A 25,614-nucleotide genomic window follows, 5' to 3' on the forward strand; every position below is an offset into this window, starting at 1 on the left:
AAAAGCCGAAAGCCGTGATTCCGATCTACGAAGGCGATTACCACCCTGAGCCCCTGACCGTAGAGGTGCAGATCCAGCTGAACCAGTGCCGCTCGGCGGAGGAGGCTCTGCGCATGTTCGCCGTGTAGGGCGTGGGCAGTAAAGGCTGTTCCCAGCACTCCCGCCTCCGCTTCTGTCCCGCCGCACGCGTCGGGGGGCGGGTGTGGCGCCGGCGTCCTGGGGAGGAGGAGCAGCCTCTGCCCGACCCGGCTCGTGCGGACCCCAGGACCGGGCGCGGGACGCGTGCGTCCAGCCTCCGGCGCTGCGGAGACCCGCGGCTGGGTCCGGGGAGGCCCCAAACCCGCCCCCGCCAGAACCCCGCCCCAAATTCCCACCTCCTCCAGAAGCCCCGCCCACTCCCGAGCCCCGAGAGCTCCGCGCACCTGGGCGCCATCCGCCCTGGCTCCGCTGCACGAGCTCCACGCCCGTACCCCGGCGTCACGCTCAGGTAGGTTGGGGGCCGGGACGCCGCTGCTGTGAGGGAGGCTGGGTCACCGTGCAGGGAGGGGCGTCGCCAGGGCGGCCGTGCCTTTGCACCCCGCGGCCCGCTCCCCGGTCCCCCAGGGTCCCCGCGAGGACGCCGGCCCCGCCCGGGTGCGGCGCGAGTCTGGCCTCGGCGGGCACGGCTCGGGGCCCACGGGCCGCTCGGCTTCGGTTCTCCAGGCTGGGGACAGAGGCTGGAGCCGGGCGCGGTAGACCCCGCCAGCCTGGGCCGCCCGCGCCCGACGCGCAGCGCTGCTGCCAACCCCGGCCCGGGGGTCCCCGCAGAGTGGGTCTCTGCTGCCGTCAGCCCTTCGGAGACTGTCGCGTTGAAAGAATGAACCAGAGTTCGCCCCCTGCCCGCGCCAGGGCGTTTTGGGTCACCGAGTCCTGTGGGGATCCGAGGCGGCTGCCGCCCAAGGCCGAGCGCAGCCTCAGGACCCGCGCCCCACCAGACGGGGTCGTGCGCTCCGCGGCGGGTGGAGAGCCGGGCTCTGGGGTCTCCGCGGCTCGGAGGGCGGCGGGGCGAGGCCGTGCGGCCAGCGCCTGGGGACGCCCGCGGCGGGACAGGGGCCACCCGGGCCGCGGCGCAGCCTGGGCTGAAACCTCCTGGGACGGAACCAAGCCACCTGCTGTGCGCCCTTCTCGGTGAATGGCACCGCCGCCCGCCCGGGCCTCTCGTCCACAGCCCGCGGTGCTCGCACACCTGAGACTCATCTCGCTTCGACCCCGCCGCCGCCGCCGCCCGGCATCCTGAGCACGGAGACAGTCTCCAGCTGCCGTTCATGCTTCCTCCCCAGCCTTCCGCAGCCCACCAGGGAAGGGGCGGTAGGAGTGGCCTTTTACCAAAGGTCAGATTCTTTCACCGCCTCTGCCAGACCCCCTTGTCCCCCACCCCCGCATAGATCTCCAGGGGGCTCAGAAAACTCTGGCCGGTGGCTCACGCCTGTAGTCCCAACGCTTTGGGAGGCCAAGGCGGGAGGATCGCTTGAGGCCAGGAGTTCCAGACCAGCCCAGGCAACAAAAGATACCACATCTCTACAAAAAATAAATTAGCCGGGCCCTGCACGCCTGTAGTCCCAGCTACTGGGGAGGCCGAGGCCGGAGGATCGCTTGAACCCAGGAGTTCCAGGCTGCAGTGAGCTATAATTGTGCCACTGCACTAGAGTCTGGGTGACAGAGACACTGTCTCAAAAAAAACCAACAAAACCCTTAGCTCTTTCACTAGCCGGGCTGGCCTCTTCCTACTGTAAACCTGCTGGGCCCCCGTCTCCCTTCTTTCTCCCCTCTCTCCTGCCCTGGAGCTGCCTGACTCTGCCCACGGCCTGCAGAGACCCCAGGTCTTCACGCAAGGTGCCATTCCTCACTCAGTTCTTGCTCAAACGTCCCTCCATCAAGGAGGGCTTTTTAGCTACCCTTGGCTATGGGATCCGTCCTCCGCGTCAGCCAATTCTCTGCATTAGACTGTAACTTCTCAACATACCTGGTTCCTATGCGTTTTGTGCTCCCCTCTGAGAGGGCAGCGACCCTGTCTTGCTTGCCACTGCATCCCTAGCACCTAGCAGTTGCTTTTCTGGTGACGGCGGCTGTGGCAGTGGCCAATGCGGCAGACTGGTCAGAAGTGAAGGGACAGGATGACTTGGCAGTGGAGGTCAAGGGGAGGGGACTGGGGCAGAGGGAGACACCAGAGGGACAAAAATGAGAAACTGAAGACAGGCTTTGCTACGTGGAGCTCGGGCAGGCCACACTGGTGGATTCTGTCTCCTCATCCTTCTTTTCAGGTCCCTGGGAGAAATCAGCACTTAGAACGTGGTGGGAAGGCGGGGCGGGGTGCCTCGGAAGCCATCCCTGATACAAGTCCCCAGCTTTCCTGCTTCCCCTCTTGTGGTGTGTGGCTTTGTCTCCCTCCCTCCCTCCTGGAAGCCCCGACCTCTGAGGCAGGTGTAAAGGGTGTGTGCTTTGGTGGCCACGGCCACCCTGTGGTGCTGGTTCTCCTCCGAGGGAAGCAGTGCACTCCTGGTCATCTTGGAGACGCCCAACACAGGACCCCACAGGCACCAAGCTTTTTTTGGGAAATGGTTTCACTTCCCACTTGAAAAGCCCTGAATGTCAGTTCCACACTTAGTGAATTTGATCCAAGCTAAACTGAGTCTGTGCCTAAAACTCATCAGGTGCTCGAGTTTCCTGGAAGAATGGCTGGGAACGTTTATGGTGTCAGCTGTAAAGTGGCTGCAAGTCCTTTTGGGAAAAACAGACCCAGGAGTCCTCAGATGATGGCAGAGGAGGGCAAGGGCTGGCAAAGCAGCTGTGCTTAGCCCATCCTCAGGGGAGGGAGGACTCTGGAAAGAGCCTGAGGATACGCTGAGAATAAAAAGTCCAGAGGCCAGCAGGGACTTAGCGGCTGGGGTGCAGGTTAACTCCTGCCCAACTCTTGGGGACAGGGACCCGGGGCTGGGCCCTGCTCAGGTGGCTCTCTCCTTGCAGGGACCGGCGATGCTCTGCAGGCTGTGCTGGCTGGTCTCGTACAGCTTGGCTGTGCTGTTGCTCGGCTGCCTGCTCTTCCTGAGGAAGGCGGCCAAGCCCGCAGGAGACCCCACGGCCCACCAGCCTTTCTGGGCTCCCCCAACACCCCGTCACAGCCGGTGTCCACCCAACCACACAGTGTCTAGCGCCTCTCTGTCCCTGCCTAGCCGTCACCGTCTCTTCTTGACCTATCGTCACTGCCGAAATTTCTCTATCTTGCTGGAGCCTTCAGGCTGTTCCAAGGATACCTTCTTGCTCCTGGCCATCAAGTCACAGCCTGGTCACGTGGAGCGACGTGCGGCTATCCGCAGCACGTGGGGCAGGGTGGGGGGATGGGCTAGGGGCCGGCAGCTGAAGCTGGTGTTCCTCCTAGGGGTGGCAGGATCCGCTCCCCCAGCCCAGCTGCTGGCCTATGAGAGTAGGGAGTTTGATGACATCCTCCAGTGGGACTTCACTGAGGACTTCTTCAACCTGACGCTCAAGGAGCTGCACCTGCAGCGCTGGGTGGTGGCTGCCTGCCCCCAGGCCCATTTCATGCTAAAGGGAGATGACGATGTCTTTGTCCACGTCCCCAACGTGTTAGAGTTCCTGGATGGCTGGGACCCAGCCCAGGACCTCCTGGTGGGAGATGTCATCCGCCAAGCCCTGCCCAACAGGAACACTAAGGTCAAATACTTCATCCCACCCTCAATGTACAGGGCCACCCACTACCCACCCTATGCTGGTGGGGGAGGATATGTCATGTCCAGAGCCACAGTGCGGCGCCTCCAGGCTATCATGGAAGATGCTGAACTCTTCCCCATTGATGATGTCTTTGTGGGTATGTGCCTGAGGCGGCTGGGGCTGAGCCCTATGCACCATGCTGGCTTCAAGACATTTGGAATCCGGCGGCCCCTGGACCCCTTAGACCCCTGCCTGTATAGGGGGCTCCTGCTGGTTCACCGCCTCAGCCCCCTCGAGATGTGGACCATGTGGGCACTGGTGACAGATGAGGGGCTCAAGTGTGCAGCTGGCCCCATACCCCAGCGCTGAAGGGTGGGTTGGGCAACAGCCTGAGAGTGGACTCAGTGTTGATTCTCTATCGTGATGCGAAATTGATGCCTGCTGCTCTACAGAAAATGCCAACTTGGTTTTTTAACTCCTCTCACCCTGTTAGCTCTGATTAAAAACACTGCAACCCAGCTAACTTGTCCAGCATATGTTGAATGGGAGCCAAAGTGTAGCAAATGCTGCCAGGAACCTGTCGGGGCATTCCGGGCGCTGCCTGGGGCGCTGCAGTCTGGGACCTCAAGGAAGGAGGCTGCATAGGACCCCAGGAGAGACGCATTTTCTCTTTCAGATGCAAACAAAATCTTACACTCTTCTCCTTTGGATACAATAGAGAAACGGAAAGAAAGGAAGGAACAAGAGGCCTGTGTTAAGTCCTGTTGATGTTAAGTCCTGTTGAGAGCACCAGGTAAACACTCTGCACCCCTTCTCTTAGTAGTAATAGGTTTTTCACTCCTTGGCCTCAGCTGTCCTCACAGGACAGTGGGGGCAGATCAGAGAACACATCAGAAATACATACAAAGAAATCGTACAAACTGGACAGGTTCCCCTCCCCCTGCCACAACTGGCATCCCAACAGAGGGAACAAGTACTAAATCATTTTTGACGACGTAAATAAGACTGAAAACAGGTTAAACAGTTGCTGAACTTAAGGGCATGACAAAAAGGACTCCTCTCTCTGACCCAGGTAGGCAAAATGCTTTGGGTGTGAGGTAAAAAAAATGGGTAAGAGCAGCTGTACAGAGTGGGGTGAAATGTTAAACAGGGTGCAGTGCCCAAGGGCTAAGAACCAGGTCCAGCGCAAGCCTGAGACCACAGGAGGCACTCACAGCTCACAAAGGCGTCTCGCCTGATTGGCCAGGGCAGGATCTGCCGCCTCTTCTCGGTGCACAGACAGTCATGCCAACCCTGGGCAGGGTGGCATCTGCCCCTGCTTTCCCCACTGAGTGGGGAGACAGGGCAGTGTGCTCAGGCCCTCAATCCTCACGCAGGTAGGCCTCCTGCTCCGACTCAGCCCGCTCCTCCCCTTCCTCCTGTGTTTTCTGACGGAGCTCTTCTATCTGTGCTTCTGCCAGCTTGGTTTCTGCTTTCCGGGAGAGCTGGTGCACCTCTTCCACCTGCAGTTTCACCAGCTGAATGTGATTCCTGGCGGTTATAGAGGCCTGATCTGCGCCTGCCAAAAGATGGGACAATCGGGTTGAGCAGCCGTGCAGGGCGCGGAAGGCTCATGTGGACGTTGGCCTGGGGGTGCTGTGGCTGTCATCTGAACCCCTCTTGGGGTCACTTTCCTTGACCTCCCTGTCTTCTCTCTCTGCAAAGAAACTTCCACCTCTATGTTCAGGTCTGGATTTAACTGACACTCTGTCAAAAACAGCATTTTTCTTCAGCTGTCAGCGGCCAACATCACAATTATTAAATGCAACTCTCACAATCATCTTTATAGCTACAGAGCTTTTAGTACAGACCTTTGATTAATTTTTTTAACTACACATCTTCCATTTCTTTTTGACAAAGAGATCATGAATAAAATTGTCAAAGATCCCTTTCATCACCTTGACTAATCTTTAAAGGTAAAGGAATGCATAGAAAAATATTTTTTTACTATAAATTTATGTAACAGCATAAAAGGTATTAAATATGTTTTATAATTTTTTCACTTAAACATGTTTTGAAGGCCGGGCGCAGTGGCTCACGCCTCTAATCTCAGAACTTTGGGAAGCCAAGGCAGGCAGATCACCTGAGGGTCAGAAGTTCGAGACCAGCCTGGCTAACATGGTGAACCCGTCTCTACCAAAAATACAAAAAAAAATTAGCCAGGCATGGTGGCGCATGCCTGTAATCCCAGCTACTTGGGAGGCTGAGGCAGGAGAATAGCTTGGACCCGGGAGGCGAAGGCTGAAGTGAGCCAAGATCGTGCCACTGCACTCCAGCCTGGGCGACAGACTCCGTCTCAAAAAAAAAAGAAAAAAAGAAAAAAGGCTGGGTGCAGTGGCTCGTGCCTGTAATCCTAGCACTTTGGGATGCCGAGGTGGGTGGACTGCCTGAGCTCAGGAGTTCAAGACCAGCCTGGGTAACACGGTGAAACCCCGTTTCTACTAAAATACAAAAAAAGTAGCTGGGTGTGGCAGAGTGCACCTGCAGTCTCAGCTACTTGGGAGCCTGAAGCAGGAGAATTGCTTGAACCTGGGAGGCGGAGGTTGCAGTGAGCTGAGATCGCGCCACTTCACTCCAGCCTAGGTGAGAGTGAAACTCGTCTCCCCCCCAAAAAAAAAAATGAGCTCTCTCATTTTACCTGCTGCTAGTTAGTGTATTTCACCATCTGGGTATATACATTTTATCAATTCGTCTGTAGAACATTTTGATCTTACTGCATTAACAAGAACCTTCAGGACAATGTTGACAGGTAGTGGAGAATGGCAGGCATCCTCCTCTTCTAACTTCGATGAAAACACTTCTGAAAGTCCACACAATTAAGTAGGATTACTTAACCTTTATTACATTAAGAAAATTATCTCTTCATAATTGTACTTAGATTCGAATCATAAATGGCTACTACACTGAAGATGTTTTGGGCATATGTTAAGTGGTTTTTCTCCTTTAATCTATGGATATATCATCTCAAACAGTGAATTATATTTGTTTGAGAAGGAGTCTCACTCTATAGTTTTTTACAGTGTTGAACTATCATTCTATTTTGAGGGTAAATGGCTACGTTTGATTTACGGCTACATTTTGAAGTGATACTGAGCTTTTCGTTTTGGTGCTGCCCTAGTCCAGTTTGGGATCGGGGCTATGCTGGCTTCATACAGTAGTAAGAGGAGGCTTGTCATTACTTTCTTTGCGCTGGTACACTTACAGTAACATAGGTATTATAGTTTTGGAAGATTTGATAAAACTCTCCCACGAAACATCCTAGGCCCTGGTGTCCATTTTGGGGACATCAAAATCTTCGAATACCATTTCTACCTTTTTTTTTTTTTTTTTTTTGAGATGGAGTCTCACTTATCACCCAGGCTGGAGTGCAGTGGCGCGATCTCGGCTCACTGTAAGCTCCACCTCCCGGGTTCACGCCATTCTCCTGCCTCAGCCTCCTGAGTAGCTGGGACTACAGGTGCCCACCACCATGCCTAATTTATTTATTTATTTTTTTTATTTTAGTAGAGACGGGGTTTCACCACGTTAGCCAGGATGGTCTTGATCTCCTGACCTCGTGATCCACCCGCCTTGGCCTCCCAAAGTGCTGGGATTACAGGCGTGAGCCACCGCGCCCAGGTGATATATCAACTTTTTAAATGATTTTGTTGTCTCTTCCTTTTGTCACCTGGTACAAAATTTACTGTGTGTCTTAGAAGAGTATGTAAATTTAGAGGGAGGGGGCAAAGTTTTATATTTAGTATATATACATTTGTTAGGTGTTTAAAAACCACTCTGCAAAACCAGCCTGGGAAACTTAGCAAAACTCTGTTTCTACTAAAAATAAAAAAATTAGCTGGGGCATGGTGGTGTGCACCTGTAATCCCAGCTACTGGGGAGGCTAAAGTGGGGAGGATCACTTGAGTCCAGGAGGTTGAGACTACAGCAAGCTATGATCTATGATCCCACCACAGCATTCCCGCATGGACCCTGTCTCTCTCACACACACAAATCTGATTTTCCTTTGTTTAGTTAAAAGTAAAAAAAAAAAAAAAAAAAAAAAAAAAAAAAAAAAATCACAGACGGGCACAGTGGCTCACGCCTGTAATCCCAGCACTTTGGGAGGCTGAGGCAGGTGGACTGCCTTAGCTCAGGAGTTCGAGACTAGCCTGGGCAACATGGTGAAACCCCATCTCTACCAAAAAATAAAAAAGATTAATCGGGCGTGGTGGTGACTGCCTGTGGTCCCAGCTACTCAGGAGGCTGAGACAGGATTGCTTGACCCTGGGAGGCAGAAGTAACGGTGAGCCAAGATCAAGGAACTGCACTCCAACCCGGGTGACAGAGTGAGACCCTGTCTCCAAAATAAAAAACAATCACACTGAGCTGGGTGCAGTGGCTCAGCTCACGCCTGTGATCCTAGCACTCTGGCAGGCCAAGACGGGAGGATCACTTGAGCCCATGAGTTCAAAATCAGCCTGGGGAACATAACAAGACACCAACTCTTAAAAAAAAAAAAGAAAATTAGTTGGGCTGCTTGGGACGCTGAAATGGGAAGATGGCTTGAGCCCAGGTCAAGGCTGCAGTAAGCTGTGATCATGCCATTACACTCCAGCCTGGGCAACAGAGCAAGACCCTGTCTCCAAAACAAATTCTGTTCTAATCCTTAATAGCTTTAATAGCTTTAATTTTTTTGGTTGTCTTGACCTGCAAGCGTGCTCAGAAAATTGAGTATTACACACATCTCAGATCTCCTTGTAATTCTATCAGTTTTTGCCTCATTAAGTACATTTCATGATTGATAATGTCTTAATGAATTGTTCTGTCCTACTGATTACTTTTTATCTTGAATTCTTTGATTTAGCTAGTTTTAGCTAAATTTTGGAACACAATCTAAACGTGTCATTTAATAAGTTTATTTTTACTGCAATCACTGATGTTTGAAATTATTCCTATAATTTTTTTTTTTTTTTTTTAAATTACAGATGGAGTTTTGCCATGTTGGCCAGGCTGGTCTCGAACTCTTGACCTCAGCTGATCCATCTGACTTGGCCTTCCAAAGTGCTGGGATCATAGGTGTGAACTACTGCACGTGGCCCAATTTTGTATTTTCTAATTGACGGGTTTTCTTTTTAAACCTTTCCTGCCTCAACTGGAGCTACCAAGTTTCCTCCCACTCCTACTAATTCTCTTTGCAGTGTTTAACAATGTCTAATGTCAATGTGCTTAGCATGTTTTCACTTTCCCAAATTTAAAAACTTGTTTTACACTCAGAACTTTTGAAAAAAAATCTTAGTAGCTTCTCTCAAAACTGATTTTTCCTTCTTCATAGTTCTTCCAGAAAGTGTATACAGGTGGTACTTTGAGTCTATGTCTGAGGATATCTTTTATTCTCACTTTTTGATGGTAGTTGGCTATACATAAAATCCTAGGTTATGGATTTATCGTCACCTCTAGTGTTGCGGAGAAGATGCCTGATGTTTGATTCTACTTCCTTTGTAGGTAATCTATTTTTTCTTAGTAGCTTTTGGGATTTTGCTCTGAATCTTTTTGTTATGCTGTTACTTTATTGTTCGCTTATTTATTTATTTTTGTTTTTTTTTTTGAGATGGAGTCTTGCTCTGTTGCCCAGGGTGGAGTGCAGTGGTGTGATCTCTGCTCACTGCAAGCTCTGCCTCCCAGGTTCACGCCATTCTCCTGCCTCAGCCTCCCGAGTAGCTGGGACTACAGGCACCCGCCACCACACATAGCTAATTTTTTTGTATTTTTAGTAGAGACGGGGTTTTACCATGTTAACCAGGATGGTCTTTATCTCCTGACCACATGATCCGCCCACCTCAGCCTCCTAAAGTGCTGGGATTACAGGCGTGAGCCACTGCGCCCGGCCATTTTTTTGTTTTTAAGACAGGGTCTTGCTTTGTCAACCAGGCTGGGGTACACTGGCCTGATCATGGCTCACTGCAGCCTCGACCTCCAGGGCCCAAGTGATCCTCTCACCTCAGCCTCCCAAGAAGCTGGGACTACAGGCGCCCATCACCATGCCTGGCTAATTTTTTTGTAGAGACAGGGTTTCATCGTGTTGTCAAGTCTGGTCTCGAACTCCTGAGCTCAAGTGATCCACCTGCTTAGGCATCCCGAAGTGCTGGGATTACAACAGGTATGAGCCACTGCACCTGGACCAGATTTTTGGTTAAAAAAGTGAAATCATAAGGCCGTGCACAGTGTCTCATGTCTGTAATCCCAGCAGTTTGAGAGGCCAAGGCGGGTGGATCACTTGAGCTCAGGAGTTCAAGACCAGCCTGGACAACATGGCAAAATCCTGTCTCTACCGGAAACATATAATCCCAGCTACCTGGGAGACTGACATGGTAGGATCGCTTGAGCCCAGAGGCTAAGGCTGTAGTAAGCAGTGAGCCATGATTGTGCCACTGTACTCCAGCCTGGTAACAGAGTAAGACCTTGTCTCAGGGAAAAAAAAAAAAAAAATTCCGTTTACAACTTTGTTAGCCCTTTCTATGAGTTCTAGGAAAATGTCTACTTTTCTCAAATAATGCTTATACATCCCCTCCTTTTCTCCTTCTAGATATTCTCCTTTTCTCCTTCTAGATATAAGCATATCCTCCTGTTCACTGCACCTAGAAATCCTCTGCCATGTTTGTGTGGCACAACTATAATGCTGCTTCCACACTTCCGTTGTTTCATTCTTGTTCCAAATCTCTGATCCCTCAGGATCACTACTTTTTCTCAGGATCACTACTTTTTCTGGGCCAAGCGCAGTGGCTCATGTCTGTAATCCCAGCACTTTGGGAGGCCGAGGCAGGCAGATCACCTGAGATCAGGAATTCAAGACCGGTCTGGCCAACATGGTGAAACTCCGTCTCTACTAAAAATAAAAAAATTAGCCAGGCATGGTGGCAGGCGCTTCCAAGCCCAACTACTCAGGAGGCAGAGGCAAGAGAATTGCTTGAAGCAGGGAGGTGGAGGTTGCAGTGAGCTGAGTTCACACCACTGCACTCCAGCCTGGGGGATGGAATGAGACTGTCTCAAAAAAACAAACAAACAAAAAAACTAACAACAACAAAAAAAACCTTCTAAAAGAATTATTTTTTGTTTTTCAGTATGATGACACAACACTTACCTTAAAAAATGTTTTATATCTTTTCTTTGAGATGGGGTCTCACTCTGTTGCACAGGCTGGAGTGCAATGATCTCACCTCACTGCAACCTCTGCCTCCCAGGCTCAAGTGATCCTCCTATCTTACCCTCCCAAGTAGCTGGGATTGCAGGTGTGAGCCACCACACCCAGCCCTTTGTATCATTTTTAAGATTTGATGATTGAGAACCCTAGCCTGCTAATCTTGACATCAGAAAACAAGAGTATGTTTTAATATAACAATTTCTTTTTTGAGACAGGGTCTAGCTCTTTTGCCTAGGATGGAGTGCACAGGCATGATCATAGCTCACTGCAGCCTTGAGCTCCTGGGTTCAAGCAATCCTCCCACCTCTGCCTCCCGAGTAGCTGGGACTACAGGCGAGCGCCAATACGCCCAGCTAATTTTTGTATTTTTGGTAGAGATGGGGTTTCACTGTGTTGCCCTTGAACTCCTGGGCTCCAGCAATCTGCCTGCCTTGGCTTCCCAAAGACACGCGTTGAGTCCCTGTGCCTGACTCATCCCAGTTTCTTTTTTTTTTCTTGAGACAGAGTCTTGCTCTGTCACCAAGGCTTGAGGTGCAGTGGAGCCATCTAGGCTCACTGCAGCCTCCACCCCCTGGGTTCAAGCCATTCTCCTGCACAGGCGTGTGCCACTACACCTGGCTAATTTTTGTATTTTTAGTAGAGACAGGGTTTCACCACGGTGGCCAGGGTAGTGTCAAACTCTTGACCTCAAGTGACCCACCTCAAGTGATCCGCCCTCCTTGGCCCCCCAAAGTGCTGGGATTATAGGCATGAGCCACTGCAACCAGTTTCTTAATAAGAACTAGTACTAAGCTATAACTTTGGTGAGCCGGCTGGGTGCGGTGGCTCGCACCTGTAATCCCAGCACTTTGAGAGGCTGAAGTGAGGAACAACATGACGAAACCTGCCTCTACTAAAAATACAAAAATTAGCCAGGCGTGGTGGTGCATGCTTGTAATCGGGAGGCTGAGGCAGGAAAATTGCTTGAACTGGAGAGGCAGAGGTTGCAGTGAGCTGAGAAAGTGCTACCACTGCAGCCTGGGCACCAAGAGTGAAACTCTGTCTCAAAAAAAAAAAAATTTGGCCGGACACAGTGGCTCATGCCTGTAATCCCAGCACTTTGGGAGGCCAAGGCGGGTGGATCACCTGAGGTCAGGAGTTCAAGACCAGCCTGGCCAACATGGCAAAACCCCTTCTCTATTAAAAATACAAAAACTATTCTCTATTAAAAATACAAAAACTAGCTGGGCGTGGTGGCGGGTGCCTGTAATCCCAGCTACTTGGGAGGCTGAGGCAGGAGAATCACTTGAACCCAGGAGGTGGAGGTTGCAGTGAGCCTAGATGGCGCCAGTGCACTCCAGCCTGGGTGACAGGAACAAAACTCCATTAAAAAAAATTTTTTTTTCTGTGAGCCTACCTACCTAGGTTGGGACCACTCAGGTAGGATGTTCTATGATGGGCACCTTGGGGCACCACGGTGCAAAGGACAAAGCACTGGCTGCTGGGAGAATAGGAGAAGCAGAGGCTTTGGAATTCGACCTACTTGGCTCCGTGGCTCATGCCTATAATCCCAGCACTTTGGGAGGCCAAGGTGGGTAGACTGCTTGAGCCTAGGATTTCGAGATTAGCCTGTGCAACATTGTAAAACCCCATCTCTATTTTATGAAGGAAAAAAAAAAAAAAAAAAAAAAGACCTACTCAGCTGAATCTCAGCTTGGCTGCTTACTCACCATACCGTGTCATCTTAGCCGAATGATCTGGCCCATCTGCCCTCTAGTTTCTTCACATATAAAAAGTGCCTACGAAATGCCTACCACAAAGCCTGACATAGACAAATAATTTGTCCTGGTTTTGCCACTGACTATGATTCCAGGTCTCATTTTCTCCATCTGTACAAAAAGGTTCACATAGATTACTCATCTCAAGTCTCAGCCAACGGTGTAATTCTATGATTGTTAATAAATTGTATTACCAAAAGAAGCTAAAACTATTTGGAAGCAATCCAATTTTCCAATGGTAATAGTTTTATCATTTTTCATTTTGAAGACATAACCTAGCTTCTACTGGTCTGGTCTGCAAGGGTATGCTCATTGTTTCTATTGTGCAAATAAAATGTAGGTTAATATGTAGGAAATGGGGAAAATTTCTCAAAGTGAGAGCCACTTAGACCATTTACTATAAAGCCCTCATTTTAGAAAACCAGATGAAAACTCAAATGGTACCTTCCTAGTTAAAAAATTAAAAAAAAAACCCAACACAAAACTTGAACCTACCAGTTTGATATGCAGCTTCTGCTGCCATCTCTGAAAGACCAACTGCAGTCATCCAAGTGGTTTCCAGCTTCAAGTACTCTTGGTGTTTTGAAGTCATCTATATAAATCAAGCAAAGTGCTTCAGACAGCATAAGAGGTCTAGCCCATTTAAATGGACTTAAAGTAGTAGATTTAGAGAACACTGATTATATTGATTAGACTTAATTCAATAATTTAGATACCACATGAGGTAGGTGCACTAACACAGAAATGCCTAGAACTTTCTGCTTACCTCAGCTCTGGCTCCTATGATCACCTGCCACACTTCATCTTCCTCCTCTGAATTCATTTTCCCAAGTAAACTTGTATATTGTCGGTAAAGAGAAGTTAAGGTATAAACAGCCTACAAATAGAGAATGAACAAGTCTGAGTAAAGTAAGTGAGACATATCAGAAGGAATAGAGAGATTTCCACCTCAAGGAAATTAAGTCCCATTACAGCAAACTGGCTCTTCCATCCTGCTGCCTCAATGAAATTGCACTATTATCCTATGAAGTAAAGGTATCAGGACATTAGTATCTCCATCTGTAAACTTCTGTGTTTTTAAAAGCTTGTCAGCAATTCAGACACAGAAAGAGAAAACAATGCAAGGGAAAACTTTAAAGGTTGAGGGGAAAAAAGCTGCTGGAAAATATATGTAAAACAAATGCACAAATGAGACTTCAATACTTTTGATTATCCATATACGCTAAAAAATTTTTATTGGCCGGGTGCAGTGGCTCATGCCTGTAATCCTAGCACTTTGGGAGGCTAAGACACGTGGATCACCTGAAGTCAGGAGTTCGAGACCAGCTTGGCCAACATGGCAAAACCCCGTCTCTACTAAAAATACAAAAAAATTAGCCGGGCATGGTGGCACACACCTGTAATCCCAGCTACTCAGGAGGCTGAGGAAGGAAAATCGCTTGAACCCAGGAGGCGGAGATTGCAGCGAGCTGACATCACTCCACTGCACTCCAGCCTGCGTAAGCAAGACTCCATCTCAAAAAAAAAAATTTATTATTTTTTACAAACAGGATGCTATGTCACCCAGACGGAAGTGCACTGGCATGTTCATAGCTCACTGTAATCTCAAACTCCTAGACTCAAGTGATCCTCCCACCTCAGCCCCTGGAGTAACTGGGACTACAGGCACACAACACACCATGCCTGGCTAAGTTTAAAATTTTTTTTCTGCTAGAGATGGGGCTTGCTACATTGACTGGGTTGGTCTTGAACTCCTGGCCCCAAGTGATCCTCCCGCCTTGGCCTCCCAAACTGCTGGGATTACAGATGTGAGCCACCACGCCTGGCCCATATACTCTCTTTTCTATTAGGTTAGATCAGTGGCTTTTAAATAATCCTCACAGAGCAACCTCTGTTGATGGACCACAGGCCCCTGTGCCCTTAACTGAACCATATCAGCTTCACTCCTGTTTTATATACTAGGCTGCCACATTTAAGATTTTTCTGTAAAAAAAAAAAAAAAGGTTCCTGGGAAAAGTCTAAAAACGAGTGATTTAGATCAGGGCTCAGCAAACTTTTTGAAGGGCCTGACAGTAAATATTTTGGGCTTTGTGGGCCTTACAGCCTCTGTTGAAACTACTCAAATCCTCAAAAACCGTTATTGACAACACATAAACAAATAGGCCTGGCTATGTTTCAATCAAATACCAACATGGGTATCAGACACAATTTGGTTGTGAGCCATTATTTGCTAAACCATGGTTTAGAAGATCAAGAGTTAAGAGGAGACATACCTTAGTATATTCAGTAATAGCTTCAATCAACGCATATGTGGTCTGAGAGAGAAAGGTAGAGGTGCTATCTGTTACCAAAGACACTGCTCTCCTCATCAATGCTTCACTACTAAGGGAATGAGGCTCTGATTTCTGAAAGACACAAACATTGTCACTCAACCTCTAAAGCTCAAACTGAGAACTTTTTCACCAATAGGCAAGCAAAAAACGTAATTGTCATGCTGCTTAGTGTTTTAGGCTGAAACTGCACTATATTTCTTTGGGTTATATTTTTTAAGGCCTTATTTTGGCAATTTAAGACAATATAGAGAAATAATTCCGGAGTATGCTTTCTACCAACTTTCATTCTCTGCTCCAAAAAGCAAATTATTTCTTTACATATAAAATAAATTGTGGCGGGGTACGGTGGCTCACACCTGTAATACCAGCACTTTGGGAGGCTGAGGCAGGCAGATCACGAGGTCAGGAGATTGAGACGATCCTGGCCAACATGGTGAAACCCCGTCTCTACTAAAAAAATACAAAAATTAGCTGGGCCGTAGTGGTGTGCGTCTTTAATCCCAGCTACTCGGGAGGCTGAGGCAGGAGAATCGACTGAACCCAGGAGGCAGAGGTTACAGTGAGCCGAGACTGCCACTGCACTCCAGCCTGGGTGACAGAGCAAGACTAAAAAAAAAAAAAAAAAAGTGCCGGGCACGGTGGCTCACGCCTGTAATCCCAGCACTTTGGGAGGCTGAGGCAGGCAGATCACGAGGTCAGGAGATTGAGACGATCCTGGCCAACATGGTGAAACCCCGTCTCTACTAAAAATACAAAAATTAGCTGGGCGTGGTGGCACACGCCTGTAGTCCCAGCTACTTGGGAGGCTGAGGCAGAAGAATCACTTGAACCCAGGAGGCAGAGGTTGCAGTGAGCCGAGATTGCACCACTGCGCTCCAGCCTGGTGACAGAGCGAGACTACATCTCAAAAAAAAAACAAAAAACCAAAAAAACCCCCAAAACTATTGATTATAACCAACAAATTGATAAGATTACAATTCATTCATTAACAGTGTTAGATACTTGAGACGCAAGTCTCAACAAGACATTCTCTGCCCTCAAACACAGGTGTAGGGGTAGAGAGAGCAGGATGATGGGCTAACAGAACTAGAAAAATGAACACAATCATGTATCATGGAAGCTGTGGGAGGAGTATGTATGAGCTACACTGGGGGCATGCAGAAGGGAGCAATCAGTTCTATGTTGAGTGCTAATAGCTTAGAAAAGGCTTCACAAGTTTGATGAGGATTAAGCTGAGTCTAATAAAGTGGGCCAGGCATGGTGGCTAACGCCTGTAATCCCAATAGTTTGGGAGGCCGAGGCGGGTGGATCACAAGGTCAAGAGATCGAGACCAGCCTGGCCAACATGGCGAAACCCCAACTCTACTAAAAATACAAAAAAAAAAAAATTAGCTGGGCATGGTGGTGGGCACCTGTAGTCCCAGCTACTTGAGAGGCTGAGGCAGGAGAATCGCTTGAACCCAGGAGGTGGAGGTTGCAGTGAGAGCCAAGATCGTGCCACTTCACTCCAGCCTGGGCGACAGAGCAAGACTCTTTCGCCAAAAAAAAAAAAAGTGGATGGGGGAGGGCAATTCTGAGCAGAATGAAGCAGTACAGTGTTGATGGGGGGACCTCGGTTATTTTATTTTTTTTTTTTGAGACAGAGTCTCACTCTATCACCCAGGCTGGAGTGCAGTGGTTCAATCTTGGCTCATTGCAACCTCCGCCTCCTGGGTTCAAGCGATTCTCCTGCCTCAGCTTCCCCAGTGGCTGGGATTTCAGGCACCTGCCACCACGCTTTGCTATTTTTTTGGTATATTTAGTAGAGATGGGGTTTCATCATGTTGCCCAGGCTGGTTTTGAACTCCTGACCTCAAGTGATACACATGCTTTGGCCTCCCAAAGTGCTGGGATTACAGGTGTGAGCCACCATGCCCACCCTGACCTCAGCTATTTTAAAAAAGGAAAGACTAATATAATTACCTTAAGAGTTAAGGGACTGTGGCCACCTGGACTAAATACTGGCAACTGTAATGACACATCCTCCCTGACTCTCTGCCTTTTTCCTCCTCAGCAAAGCACTCTTACACCTGTAATCCCAGCACTTTGGGAGGCTGAGGCGGGCAGATCACCTGAGATCAGGAGTTTGAGACAAGCCTGGCCAACATGGTGAAACCCCGTCTCTACTAAAAAGACACAAATTAGCTGGGCGTGGTGGCGGGTACCTGTAATCCCAGCTACTCGGGAGGCTGAGGCAGGAGAATTGCCTGAACCCAGGAGGTGGAGGTTGCAGTGAGCCGAGATCTTGCCATTGCACTCCAGCCTGGGTGGTAAGAGTGAAACTCGTCTCAAAACAAAACAAAACAAAACAAAAACAAAAACAAAAAATCAATCACTCTATGTTGTCTTGTTTTTGCTATTCAGAGTACAAACACTCAGAATCACTGCATGTTGAAAGAGGCAGTCAAGAAATATTTTTGATATGAACAAATCAAGAACTTTATATTTCAAATAATTAAGTATTCATTAGGCATCTTATACAGGACTACAAAAGGAAGAAAGACACCTCTGCTCACAAGAAGCTAATTTTGTCTCAATATTCTGATAAGTCTTCATAATGTGCTACATTTTATAATGTGTTTTCACTTGTTCCTCACAACAGTCCAGTTATTATCCTTTCTTATTTACAAGCAATGACATGGAAGCTCAGAATAGTTATGTAACTTTTCCAAAAAGTCACATCTAGACCTCAAACCAAATCTCACTTCAAAGTCTGTACCCTTCCCATTATGCTCTGATGACTCAGGAGGGTGCCAAAGGATTATCATCAAATATCAAAATATACAATATTAAGTGGCCAAAAAGGAGGAGATAGTTGTTGGACAGGAATAAGGAAAGGCTTTAAATAGAGGTGAGACTTGGTACTAAAGATACCTAGAATCAGAATGGCCACGCATCCTGGAGAATAGGTAACAATGAGGAAAATAATACTTTTGTTGCAGGGGATGTCCAGGGATCTAGCCTGGTTGGAGCTAAGAGAAATGAGACTCACTAGGGCCCTGGAGTGCAGGGAGACTTAGTTTAATTTTAGTTCTGAACGCCTCATGGAAAGCCACTGTAGGTTTTTCATTTCTCATTCTGTTGCCCAGGATGGAGTATAGTGTTGTGATCCCAGCTCACTGCAGCCTTGAACTCCTGAAATCAAATCATCCTCCTGCCTCCCAGGTAGCTAGGACTACCGACACACGCCACCACACCTAGCTAATTATTTTTTGTAGAGGGGTGGTCTCGCTATGTTTCTCAGGCTGGTCTCGAACTCTTGGCCTACAGTGATCCTCCCACCTCAGCCTCCAAAAGTACTGGGATTACAAGAGAGAGCCATCGTGCCTAGCTGACCACTGAGGGGTTTTGAAGAATGGAAGTGGCATTGCTGTACTAAATGACTAGAGACCCCAGTCATGTGGCCCAGAACTGAGGTTAACTGGGCTTAGAAAGTAATATAATAACTGAGAAAGGACAAACCTAAAAAAAAATCTTTTGAATGAAAAAAACAAAGGTTGTCCCAATTGTGGTCGAAAATAGCCTGGTATTCAAGTGAGGGGTTTTAGGGCTATGGATTCATCAGCATGCAGAGATGACAACTGAAGTGAGGCACAGTAAGGTGAGGGCTCATGAATGAGCCTCAGAAGATGCTGAAAATACTTGTAATACATGGAATTAATCTTCCTTTTGTGATGAACACACACGTTAAGTGGCAGGAATATTTTGCTGAAATGGAGCTTGCTGGTTTCCTCTCTAGCTCTTCCCCATAAAGCATATAAGCTATGATTTTTTTAAATGAAGTGCCACTTTTATATCAACTACTTAATTGACAGCTCCACCTAGATGTTTCCTAGACATCTTAGAAATGACATTTCCAAAAAATTTTTTTCCTTTCAAAACCCACTCCTCTCCATCCTACTAAATGGCATCGCCATTCATTCAGTTGCTAAGGCCTTTAAAAAATCTTGGAATCTGGCCAGGTGCAGTGGCTGACGCCTGTAATCCCAGCACTTTGGGAGGCCGAGGCAGGTGGATCACGAGGTCAGGAGATCGAGACCATCCTGGCTAACACGGTGAAACCCTGTCCCTACTACAAATACAAAAAAATTAGCAGGGTGTGGTGGCGGGCGCCTGTAGTCCCAGCTACTCGGGAGGCTGAGGCAGGAGAATGGTGTGAACCCAGGAGGCAGAGCTTCCTGGGCAACAGAGCGAGACTCCGTCTCCAAAAAAAAAAAAAAAAAAAAATTTTTGGAATCTAGAGCAGTGGTCCCCAACGTTTGTGGCACCAGGGACCGGCTCTGTTGAAGACAATTTTTTCATGGACTGGGTGGGGTGAGGATGGTTTCAGGATGAAACTGTTCCACCTCAGATCATGAGGCATTAGATTCTTACAAGAAGCACACAACCTAGATCCCTCGCACGTGTAGTTCACAATAGGTTTCGTGCTCCTATGAGAATCCCATGCCACTGCTGATCTGCCCAGAGGCAGAGCTCAGGCAGTAATGCTCACCTGCCCACCACTCACCTCCTGCTGTGCAGCTTGCTTCCTAACAGGCCACAGACCAGTACCAGCCCAGGGGTTGGGGACCCCTAATCTAGAGAATACACCCGACAACCAATCCATCAGCAACTCCTGCTAACTACGTTGAGCTAAATTCTCCCCACCTCTTCTGCTTGCCTGGTCCAAGCCAGTATCATTTCATGCCTAGATATAGCAACTAGTCTTCCTAGTTCCACACAGCAACCTTTTAACTTTTAAAATTTATGTCAGATCATAATAGTTCTGTGTTAAAAATCCTCTGTGACAGCCGGGCACGGTGGCTCAGGCCTGTAATCCCAGCACCTTGGGATGCCGAGGCGTGTGGATCGCCTGAGGTCAGGGGTTCGTGACCAGCCTCACAAGCATGGAGAAACCCCATCTCTACTAAAAATACAAAAACTAGCTGGGTGCGGTGGCACACCCCTGTAATCCCAGCTACCCGGAGGCTAAGGCATGAGAATTGCTTGAACCTGGGAGGCGGAGGTTGCAGTGAGCCAAGATTGTGCCATTGCACTGCAGCCTGGCAACAGAGTGAGACTCTGTCTTTAAAAAAAAAAAAAAAAAATATCTTCTGCGGCTTCTTTTTCAGAAAACCCAAAGCCTTACAACAATGGCCCACAAAATACAAAGGACACAATCTGATTATCAGTTAACTCTCTGGCTTCATCTATTACGGTCTCCCCCATTCGCCTCCAGACACATTAGCTCCATGCTCCTCAGACATACCAGGCATACTTCTGCTTCTAGGTCTTTGTCCTTCTGAGTTCCTTCTGCCTGGCAAGCTCCTCCCCGCACCAGATAGTATAATGGCTCTTTCAGAACATTCAGATCTCTACTTCGCCTTATCAGAGTAGCTTGACCACCTTTATCTAAAACAAAACTCCCTCCCAGAATTGCCTATTCACTTACCTCATTTGTTTTGTTTTGTTTTTGAGAAAAGGTCTTGCCCTGTCACCCAGGCTGGAGAGCAGTGGTGAGATCATAGCTCACTGCAGCCTCAAACTCCTGGGCTCAAGTGATCTTCCTGCCTCAGCCTCCTGAGTAGTTGCCACTAGAAGTGTGAGCCACCACACCCGGCTAAATTTTTCTGTTTTGTAGAGACAGAGTCTCCCTATGTTGACTAGGCTGGTCTCAAACTCCTGAGCTCAAGCCATCCTCCCACCTCAGCCTCCCAAAGCCCTGGGCATCAGCCACTGTGCCCGGCCCTGTTTTCTTCCCACCATTTATCACCAGCTGATATTTTATATTTTATCCTCTTTCATCTCCACAAAGCTTTTGTGAGAACAAGAATTTTTTGTTGTTCATTCTTACATTCTCAGTGTCTTGCACATAAAAGTTGCTCAATAAATTTCTGTTGAATCAAAGACTACTTTGTTGATAGACTGTAATATCCTCTTATTTCTCTCTACTCGCTTTATACAATTTGATGTGCTGTTCCTACCAAATGAGATAATCAAAATGAGAATATTAATATATCTGCTCAACTGTGAAAAGATGCCGGTACTGTGGGGGAAGGGATGGGAGCACTGGGAAAAACTATGGTAGCTTGTCTAATGCTTCACCGCCCACTTGAGACTTCAAGAGGACACGGTACACTAGATAAGAATCACTGCACACGACAGTACCTGTGCAATAGGAACCGCACACAGGGTTACTCCAAAGCCAATCGTCACAGTTTTGTGCCATGGTCTTATCAATTCTGAGAAACACCGCTTCTTAAAGTTAGCCACAACAGGAACACACAAACACTGTCTGTACCTGGAAGTAGAAGTCAGATTTCATAAGGCACGACCGCCAATCTGTAACAGGCTCTTGGATTTACTTGCAGGGGCTGTAAACTCAAACTCGAGCCAAGCAGGAACCTAAATGAGGATGCAGGACAGCTGAGGGGTTTTGAAATTTTCAACATACACCAAGTTTAAAATGTTGCCTCAGGCAGGGTGTTGGTGGCTCACGCCTGTAATCCTAGCACTTGGAAGGCCAAGGGCAAGGCGGGAGGATCACTTGAGCCCAGGAGTTCACGACCAGCCTGGGCAACATGGCTGGCAACATGACCCCGTGTCTATTAAAAAAAAATAAGTAAATAAAGGCCGAGGCGGGTGGATCACTTGAGGTCAGGAATTCGAAATCTGCCTGACCAACATGGTGAAACCCCATCTCTACTTAAAACACAAAAATTAGCCCGGAGTGGTGGCACGCTCCTGTAATCCCAGCTACTCGGGAGGCTGAGGCAGGAGAATCGCTTGAACCTGGGAGGCAGAGGTTGCAGTGAGCCGAGAGCGCCCCACTGCACTTCAGCCTGGGCAACAGAGCGAGACTGAGTCTCAAACAAAACAAAAAGAAAAAAAAAAATTAGCCGGGCGTGGTGGCGGGCGCCTGCAATCCCAGCTACTCGGGAGGCTGAGGCTGAGAATCGCTTGAAGCCGGGAGGCACAGGTTGCAGTGAGCTGAGATCTCGCCACTGCACTCCAGCCTGGGCGACAGAGGCAGATCTTGTCTCAAAAAAATTAAAATAAAATAAAATGTTGCCTTTAAACTTTTTAGAAACGGATGCCACAATAACCGCTCCTGCAGGCAGAATTTAGCTCTGGACCCCTGGCCTGGGTGCCAGTTGTGTGTGACGGTCCCGCTACAATCGCCCAGGAGCCTGCAGCGCTAGGTAGAGAGCCCTGCGCCAGCTCCCCCGGCCCCTTCTGCCCTCGGGAGGACGTCTTCAGACGCTCGTCTCCCTTCCCGGACTCCCCCCATGCCGTGTCCCTCCTCCTCTCCACGTCTCCTCAGGGACTTCGAGTGGCTGACGAGGGCTGGTCAGGAGGCGGAGCAGCCCCAAGAAGGCAGCCCGGGGTCTCGGGGACTCGTTTCTAGAAGATGGACGAACTGAAAAGGAAGCCGGGCTTGACCCAGGGGGCGGAGGCGGGGCTGTCCTCAGTCCTCCCGACCGGAGCGAGACGCCGCGACCCAGCTGGGCGGACGAGAGATGAGCGCGTAAGGAAGGCGGGCGCCGTGGGCCGGGCCACAGCGCTGTCCGCGTCGGTCCCTCCCTCTGGTCCTGTCCCCTCTACGCGGCCGCAGCGGTACCTGAAGAATGAAGTTACGCTGCGCGACAGCCAACTCTTCAGAGCCGCCATTGTGCAGCGCGCGGACGCCAGACGCACACGCCGGAAGTGACGCAGCTTCGTGAGCGCGGAGCGGGGCACGGCCTCCACCTGAGAGCGCCTCGCCCCATAGCCACGCCCCCACCCAAGGAAGCAGTCGGGATTGGGCAGGCAGGGGGAAAGGGGGCGAGGCTTAGGGCAAAGGCTGTAACGGCCGCGCAAGGCAACCAACCGCCGGAACTTCCGCGCGGGGCGGGGCATATGCAGGGCCTGAGGGCGCGGAGGTGGGTCCGGCGCGGAGCTGAGTCGGGCGCCGTGACGCTGGCGGGTGGGCGGGGACTCAGTTCGGGCCAGGGCTTGAAGGGAATTTCCTGGTGAGTTAGGGAGGCGGGGCCGGGCGGGAGGCGGGGCCGGGCGGGAGGCGGGGCCGGGCGCGGCGACGGCGCTGTCACTTCAGCACCAGGAAGTAAGTGGTCCAGCCGGCCAGCAGCAGCGCCCCGATGAGCACCGTGTAGCTGAGGAGCACGAAGGCGAGCAGCTCCCGCAGCAGCTGCAGCACGTGGACGGTGGACGAGGCCGGCATCGCGCTGCGCGGGAGCCCCAGGACGGTCGGCGGCCTGCCGGGCTGGCGCCGTCCCAGAGGGGCGGACGGGAACACACGAGGTCCTGGCCCTCGAAACAGCAAACGAAGGCCAGGAAGCCCACAGTGCCGACCTCCCCAACAGCCTCCTGGACGCTCGCTTCTCGGTTACACTGGAGAATCCTTCTCAACCCAAACTGCCCTCGTTCTTCGGCTCTGATCCGGGCTGAGGAGGCAGAAGCCCGGCTCTTCCCCGCGCCCCGCAGCTGCATGAGTTTTCCTCCCTGGCCCGCTCCTCCCACCACCTCCTGCATTTTTAATGCTGTGAGTGCCGCTAATGCGCTGGTGGAGTAAACCTTTCTTTTCCCGTCACTCAAGCTGCAGCCCCAGCTGCGGCCCTGGCTGGAAGGGGAAGGGGAGAGAGACCCATTTGGGCAGGAGGAAGGCACAGGCCCAAACCTGCTCTTCTGTGAGTCCCCTGGCCCCAAGGCTTGCCAGCAGCAGAGCTGGAGGATCTTTGCTTTGTGGTCCAGCATGCTTGCCTTCTGGCCAGCTGGGACTGCAGGGTGCCAGGTGGTGGGTGGGCATCAATCCGATCCTGGGCTCACCCCCGCCACCGTGCTCTGTGCATCTGCCCCAGCCCTGCTAACTTCCACCAGAGACGACATCAGACAGTAAGAACCCCACACCAGCTCATCAGACAGTAGGAACCCTACAACACCTCCAATGCTGCTTTGCCCAGCCACTCCCCACAGTGTCAGGCACTGGCTTCCTTCTCTCCCCACCTCACTTACTTGGCAAAGTTTCCACGAATCTTCCACCCTGAAGCTCCGCGGTTCTGTCTGCTCTGGTGCCCAAAGGTAGCTTGTGTGTATTCTGCGATCTCGGCAGAACTGAGATTTTCAAGCAGCGGCACTCAACAACTAGGTGTGGTCTAGAGACCAATTACAACCTCCGCGTGGTCCCCGAGCTCTCAGGGAGCTGCGCACAGGCGTTCCTAGCCCAGGCGGGGCGCTGGCAACCCTGCCCGCCCTCTGCCTGTGTCGCCACCACAGCCCACAGGGCTCAGATGTGGTTTCACAGACCCAGATGGGCTGAGCAGGCGGCACACTAGTGGGTATTTCAAGCCCCTTCTTGTTTTTTTCTGAACATTGTAAGGGGTTATGGGGTTATAGTGCGAACAGTTTCGTTTCTAACAAACACATTGAGAGCAGTCCCATCTCCTCCGAGTCTGGGCACCAGAAGAACCACTGGACAGTGTTCACTTGCGACCGCCCAACTACTAAAGCAAAAGCTGTTGTCTTAAAAAACATGCAAGTGCAAGCATGCACGGGTGTGAGAACCAAGCTTAAGTGACCGAGATCTCCTGAGTGCTTGATTCCGATTTACAAAGAGTTTTGCAGCTTACAGACTCATTATACAGATACTTTCCCAATGTGACACTTCCAATTTCACCTCCTCACAATGTGAGGCAAAAGGAGCCAGTGAGGATTTCTGCAAAGAACAGACACTTTCCCAGATGCAACAACAAAGGAAACGAAAGCATAAACTATGCTGCTTCTGATTATTTTGCTCGTTGCCGTAGTTTTTAGTTCAAGACTGTTTTCTGACCTTTGAAAAGAGCAGGCAGTGTGGACATCAACCCTTTTATCAACATCATCATCCAGAAGCAAATGGCTCCTTAATTTAATCAGGATCTCTTATTATCAAATTATTGCCTTGGCCACAGTGAGGCTGAAAACAGGAGCAGAACATTATCAAGCTGCTCAGGAAGCCAGTGAGTAGTAATTACTCCCCCAGAGAACTGGTCATCTTCCGTGTCCTACCTAGTGGCAACGGAGTACAGCTGAGATTTATACCCTCCTCCACACCAAAATAATGGATGAAACAGACAGGCTATTAAAAATAGGCCTGATTCTGTTCCCTTTTAACCCTCACATCCTTCAAATGGATGTCTCCAGGCAGTTAAGTGTTCTAGCCTTTGCGGCCCCTTGTTACCGCCTGATTTTGGGTGTTTTACAGCAACGGAGGAACTTAAGCAAAGAAACACTATGTGGCTTGAAATTCACACTAATCCATTTAGAAATAAAAGAATCTGAGAAATTTTAAATAATTGCCTTTTTCTTCTGTTGTCTGACAAAAAAGGTATCCTCTATTTTCTATAGGATGTCATCATTAAACCACGACTGAATATATCACAGTCTACAATAAATTCAGTCTAAAGAAGATCATCTATGTGATGTCTGCATTTTTTTGCCTCACCATCTTTATCATAGTCCCTCTTACTGTCTGCTTTAGACATCCAGTTCATTTTGATATTTTAAAAAGAGTATTTCAGCTGGTGTGGTGACTCACACCCATAATCCC

The 25,614-nt window shown here is 49.5% G+C and overlaps 4 protein-coding genes and 1 long non-coding RNA gene across 15 annotated transcripts in view, besides 9 other annotated features; 3 read left to right on the forward strand and 2 right to left on the reverse strand.

The window, feature by feature from the left end:
- The window catches only part of LRRC43 (leucine rich repeat containing 43), a 35,753-nt gene extending 35,596 nt beyond the window's left edge, over positions 1 to 157 (forward strand). For all 3 annotated transcript variants that reach the window (NM_152759.5, XM_017019124.2, NM_001098519.2), the window contains exon 12: positions 1 to 157. In NM_152759.5, the coding sequence (NP_689972.3) occupies positions 1 to 128 (128 nt within the window). In that variant the 3' untranslated portion in view covers positions 129 to 157.
- Positions 80 to 709: a silencer, noted in NCBI's record as "silent region_5011". NCBI's record gives its function as "represses an Ori minimal core promoter by ATAC-STARR-seq in GM12878 lymphoblastoid cells {active_cell/tissue: GM12878}" and the evidence as "EXISTENCE:reporter gene assay evidence [ECO:0000049][PMID:35858748]".
- Positions 395 to 5,638, forward strand: B3GNT4 (UDP-GlcNAc:betaGal beta-1,3-N-acetylglucosaminyltransferase 4). 3 transcript variants are annotated; one of them, NM_030765.4, is made up of 3 exons: positions 395 to 487; positions 1,208 to 1,370; positions 3,004 to 5,638. In NM_030765.4, the coding sequence occupies exons 2-3, from the start codon at positions 1,305 to 1,307 to the stop codon at positions 4,072 to 4,074; spliced, it is 1,137 nt and encodes a 378-aa protein (NP_110392.1). In that variant the 5' UTR covers positions 395 to 487; positions 1,208 to 1,304; the 3' UTR covers positions 4,075 to 5,638. The 3 variants fall into 3 exon arrangements, with proteins under 3 accessions (NP_110392.1, NP_001317421.1, XP_047285491.1); NM_001330492.2 differs by lacking the exon at positions 1,208 to 1,370; XM_047429535.1 differs by having other exon boundaries at positions 1,208 to 4,223.
- Positions 4,348 to 24,142, reverse strand: DIABLO (diablo IAP-binding mitochondrial protein). Of its 7 annotated transcripts, NM_019887.6 has the most exons (7): positions 24,042 to 24,142; positions 22,651 to 23,339; positions 21,198 to 21,330; positions 14,952 to 15,083; positions 13,445 to 13,555; positions 13,174 to 13,270; positions 4,354 to 5,263 (listed from the first exon to the last, which is right to left on the reverse strand). In NM_019887.6, the coding sequence occupies exons 2-7, from the start codon at positions 22,698 to 22,700 to the stop codon at positions 5,067 to 5,069; spliced, it is 720 nt and encodes a 239-aa protein (NP_063940.1). In that variant the 5' UTR covers positions 22,701 to 23,339; positions 24,042 to 24,142; the 3' UTR covers positions 4,354 to 5,066. The 7 variants fall into 7 exon arrangements, with proteins under 7 accessions (NP_620308.1, NP_001265232.1, NP_001265271.1 ...); NM_138930.3 differs by lacking the exons at positions 21,198 to 21,330; positions 24,042 to 24,142 and adding an exon at positions 21,331 to 21,434 and having other exon boundaries at positions 4,348 to 5,263; positions 22,651 to 23,254; NM_001371333.1 differs by lacking the exon at positions 24,042 to 24,142 and having other exon boundaries at positions 22,651 to 22,738.
- Positions 21,140 to 22,045: an enhancer, noted in NCBI's record as "H3K27ac-H3K4me1 hESC enhancer chr12:122709001-122709906 (GRCh37/hg19 assembly coordinates)". NCBI's record gives its function as "activates a minimal SCP1, AML or CMV promoter by ChIP-STARR-seq in naive H9 embryonic stem cells {active_cell/tissue: H9 hESC(naive)}" and the evidence as "EXISTENCE:reporter gene assay evidence [ECO:0000049][PMID:30033119]".
- Positions 22,455 to 22,504: an enhancer, noted in NCBI's record as "active region_7210". NCBI's record gives its function as "activates an Ori minimal core promoter by ATAC-STARR-seq in GM12878 lymphoblastoid cells {active_cell/tissue: GM12878}" and the evidence as "EXISTENCE:reporter gene assay evidence [ECO:0000049][PMID:35858748]".
- Positions 22,515 to 22,754: an enhancer, noted in NCBI's record as "active region_7211". NCBI's record gives its function as "activates an Ori minimal core promoter by ATAC-STARR-seq in GM12878 lymphoblastoid cells {active_cell/tissue: GM12878}" and the evidence as "EXISTENCE:reporter gene assay evidence [ECO:0000049][PMID:35858748]".
- Positions 22,808 to 23,102: an enhancer, noted in NCBI's record as "tiled region #2179; HepG2 Activating DNase matched - State 4:PromP, and K562 Activating non-DNase unmatched - State 1:Tss". NCBI's record gives its function as "activates a minimal TATA promoter and a strong SV40 promoter by Sharpr-MPRA in HepG2 and K562 cells {active_cell/tissue: HepG2 | K562}" and the evidence as "EXISTENCE:reporter gene assay evidence [ECO:0000049][PMID:27701403]".
- Positions 22,808 to 23,883: a biological region, named in NCBI's record as "Sharpr-MPRA regulatory region 2179".
- Positions 23,045 to 23,184: a silencer, noted in NCBI's record as "silent region_5012". NCBI's record gives its function as "represses an Ori minimal core promoter by ATAC-STARR-seq in GM12878 lymphoblastoid cells {active_cell/tissue: GM12878}" and the evidence as "EXISTENCE:reporter gene assay evidence [ECO:0000049][PMID:35858748]".
- Positions 23,052 to 23,883: an enhancer, noted in NCBI's record as "H3K4me1 hESC enhancer chr12:122710913-122711744 (GRCh37/hg19 assembly coordinates)". NCBI's record gives its function as "activates a minimal SCP1, AML or CMV promoter by ChIP-STARR-seq in primed H9 embryonic stem cells {active_cell/tissue: H9 hESC(primed)}" and the evidence as "EXISTENCE:reporter gene assay evidence [ECO:0000049][PMID:30033119]".
- LOC128125816 (uncharacterized) lies at positions 23,116 to 23,250 on the reverse strand. The gene has a single exon (NM_001414998.1). The coding sequence runs from the start codon at positions 23,248 to 23,250 to the stop codon at positions 23,116 to 23,118; it is 135 nt and encodes a 44-aa protein (NP_001401927.1).
- On the forward strand, positions 23,128 to 25,478 carry LOC101593348 (uncharacterized). Its single transcript, NR_103497.1, has one exon. It is a non-coding gene; the product is annotated as an uncharacterized LOC101593348 (long non-coding RNA).
- Positions 23,884 to 24,715: an enhancer, noted in NCBI's record as "H3K4me1 hESC enhancer chr12:122711745-122712576 (GRCh37/hg19 assembly coordinates)". NCBI's record gives its function as "activates a minimal SCP1, AML or CMV promoter by ChIP-STARR-seq in primed H9 embryonic stem cells {active_cell/tissue: H9 hESC(primed)}" and the evidence as "EXISTENCE:reporter gene assay evidence [ECO:0000049][PMID:30033119]".

Source organism: Homo sapiens, chromosome 12 (genome assembly GCF_000001405.40).
Source record: "Homo sapiens chromosome 12, GRCh38.p14 Primary Assembly".
Lineage (NCBI taxonomy): Eukaryota > Metazoa > Chordata > Mammalia > Primates > Hominidae > Homo > Homo sapiens.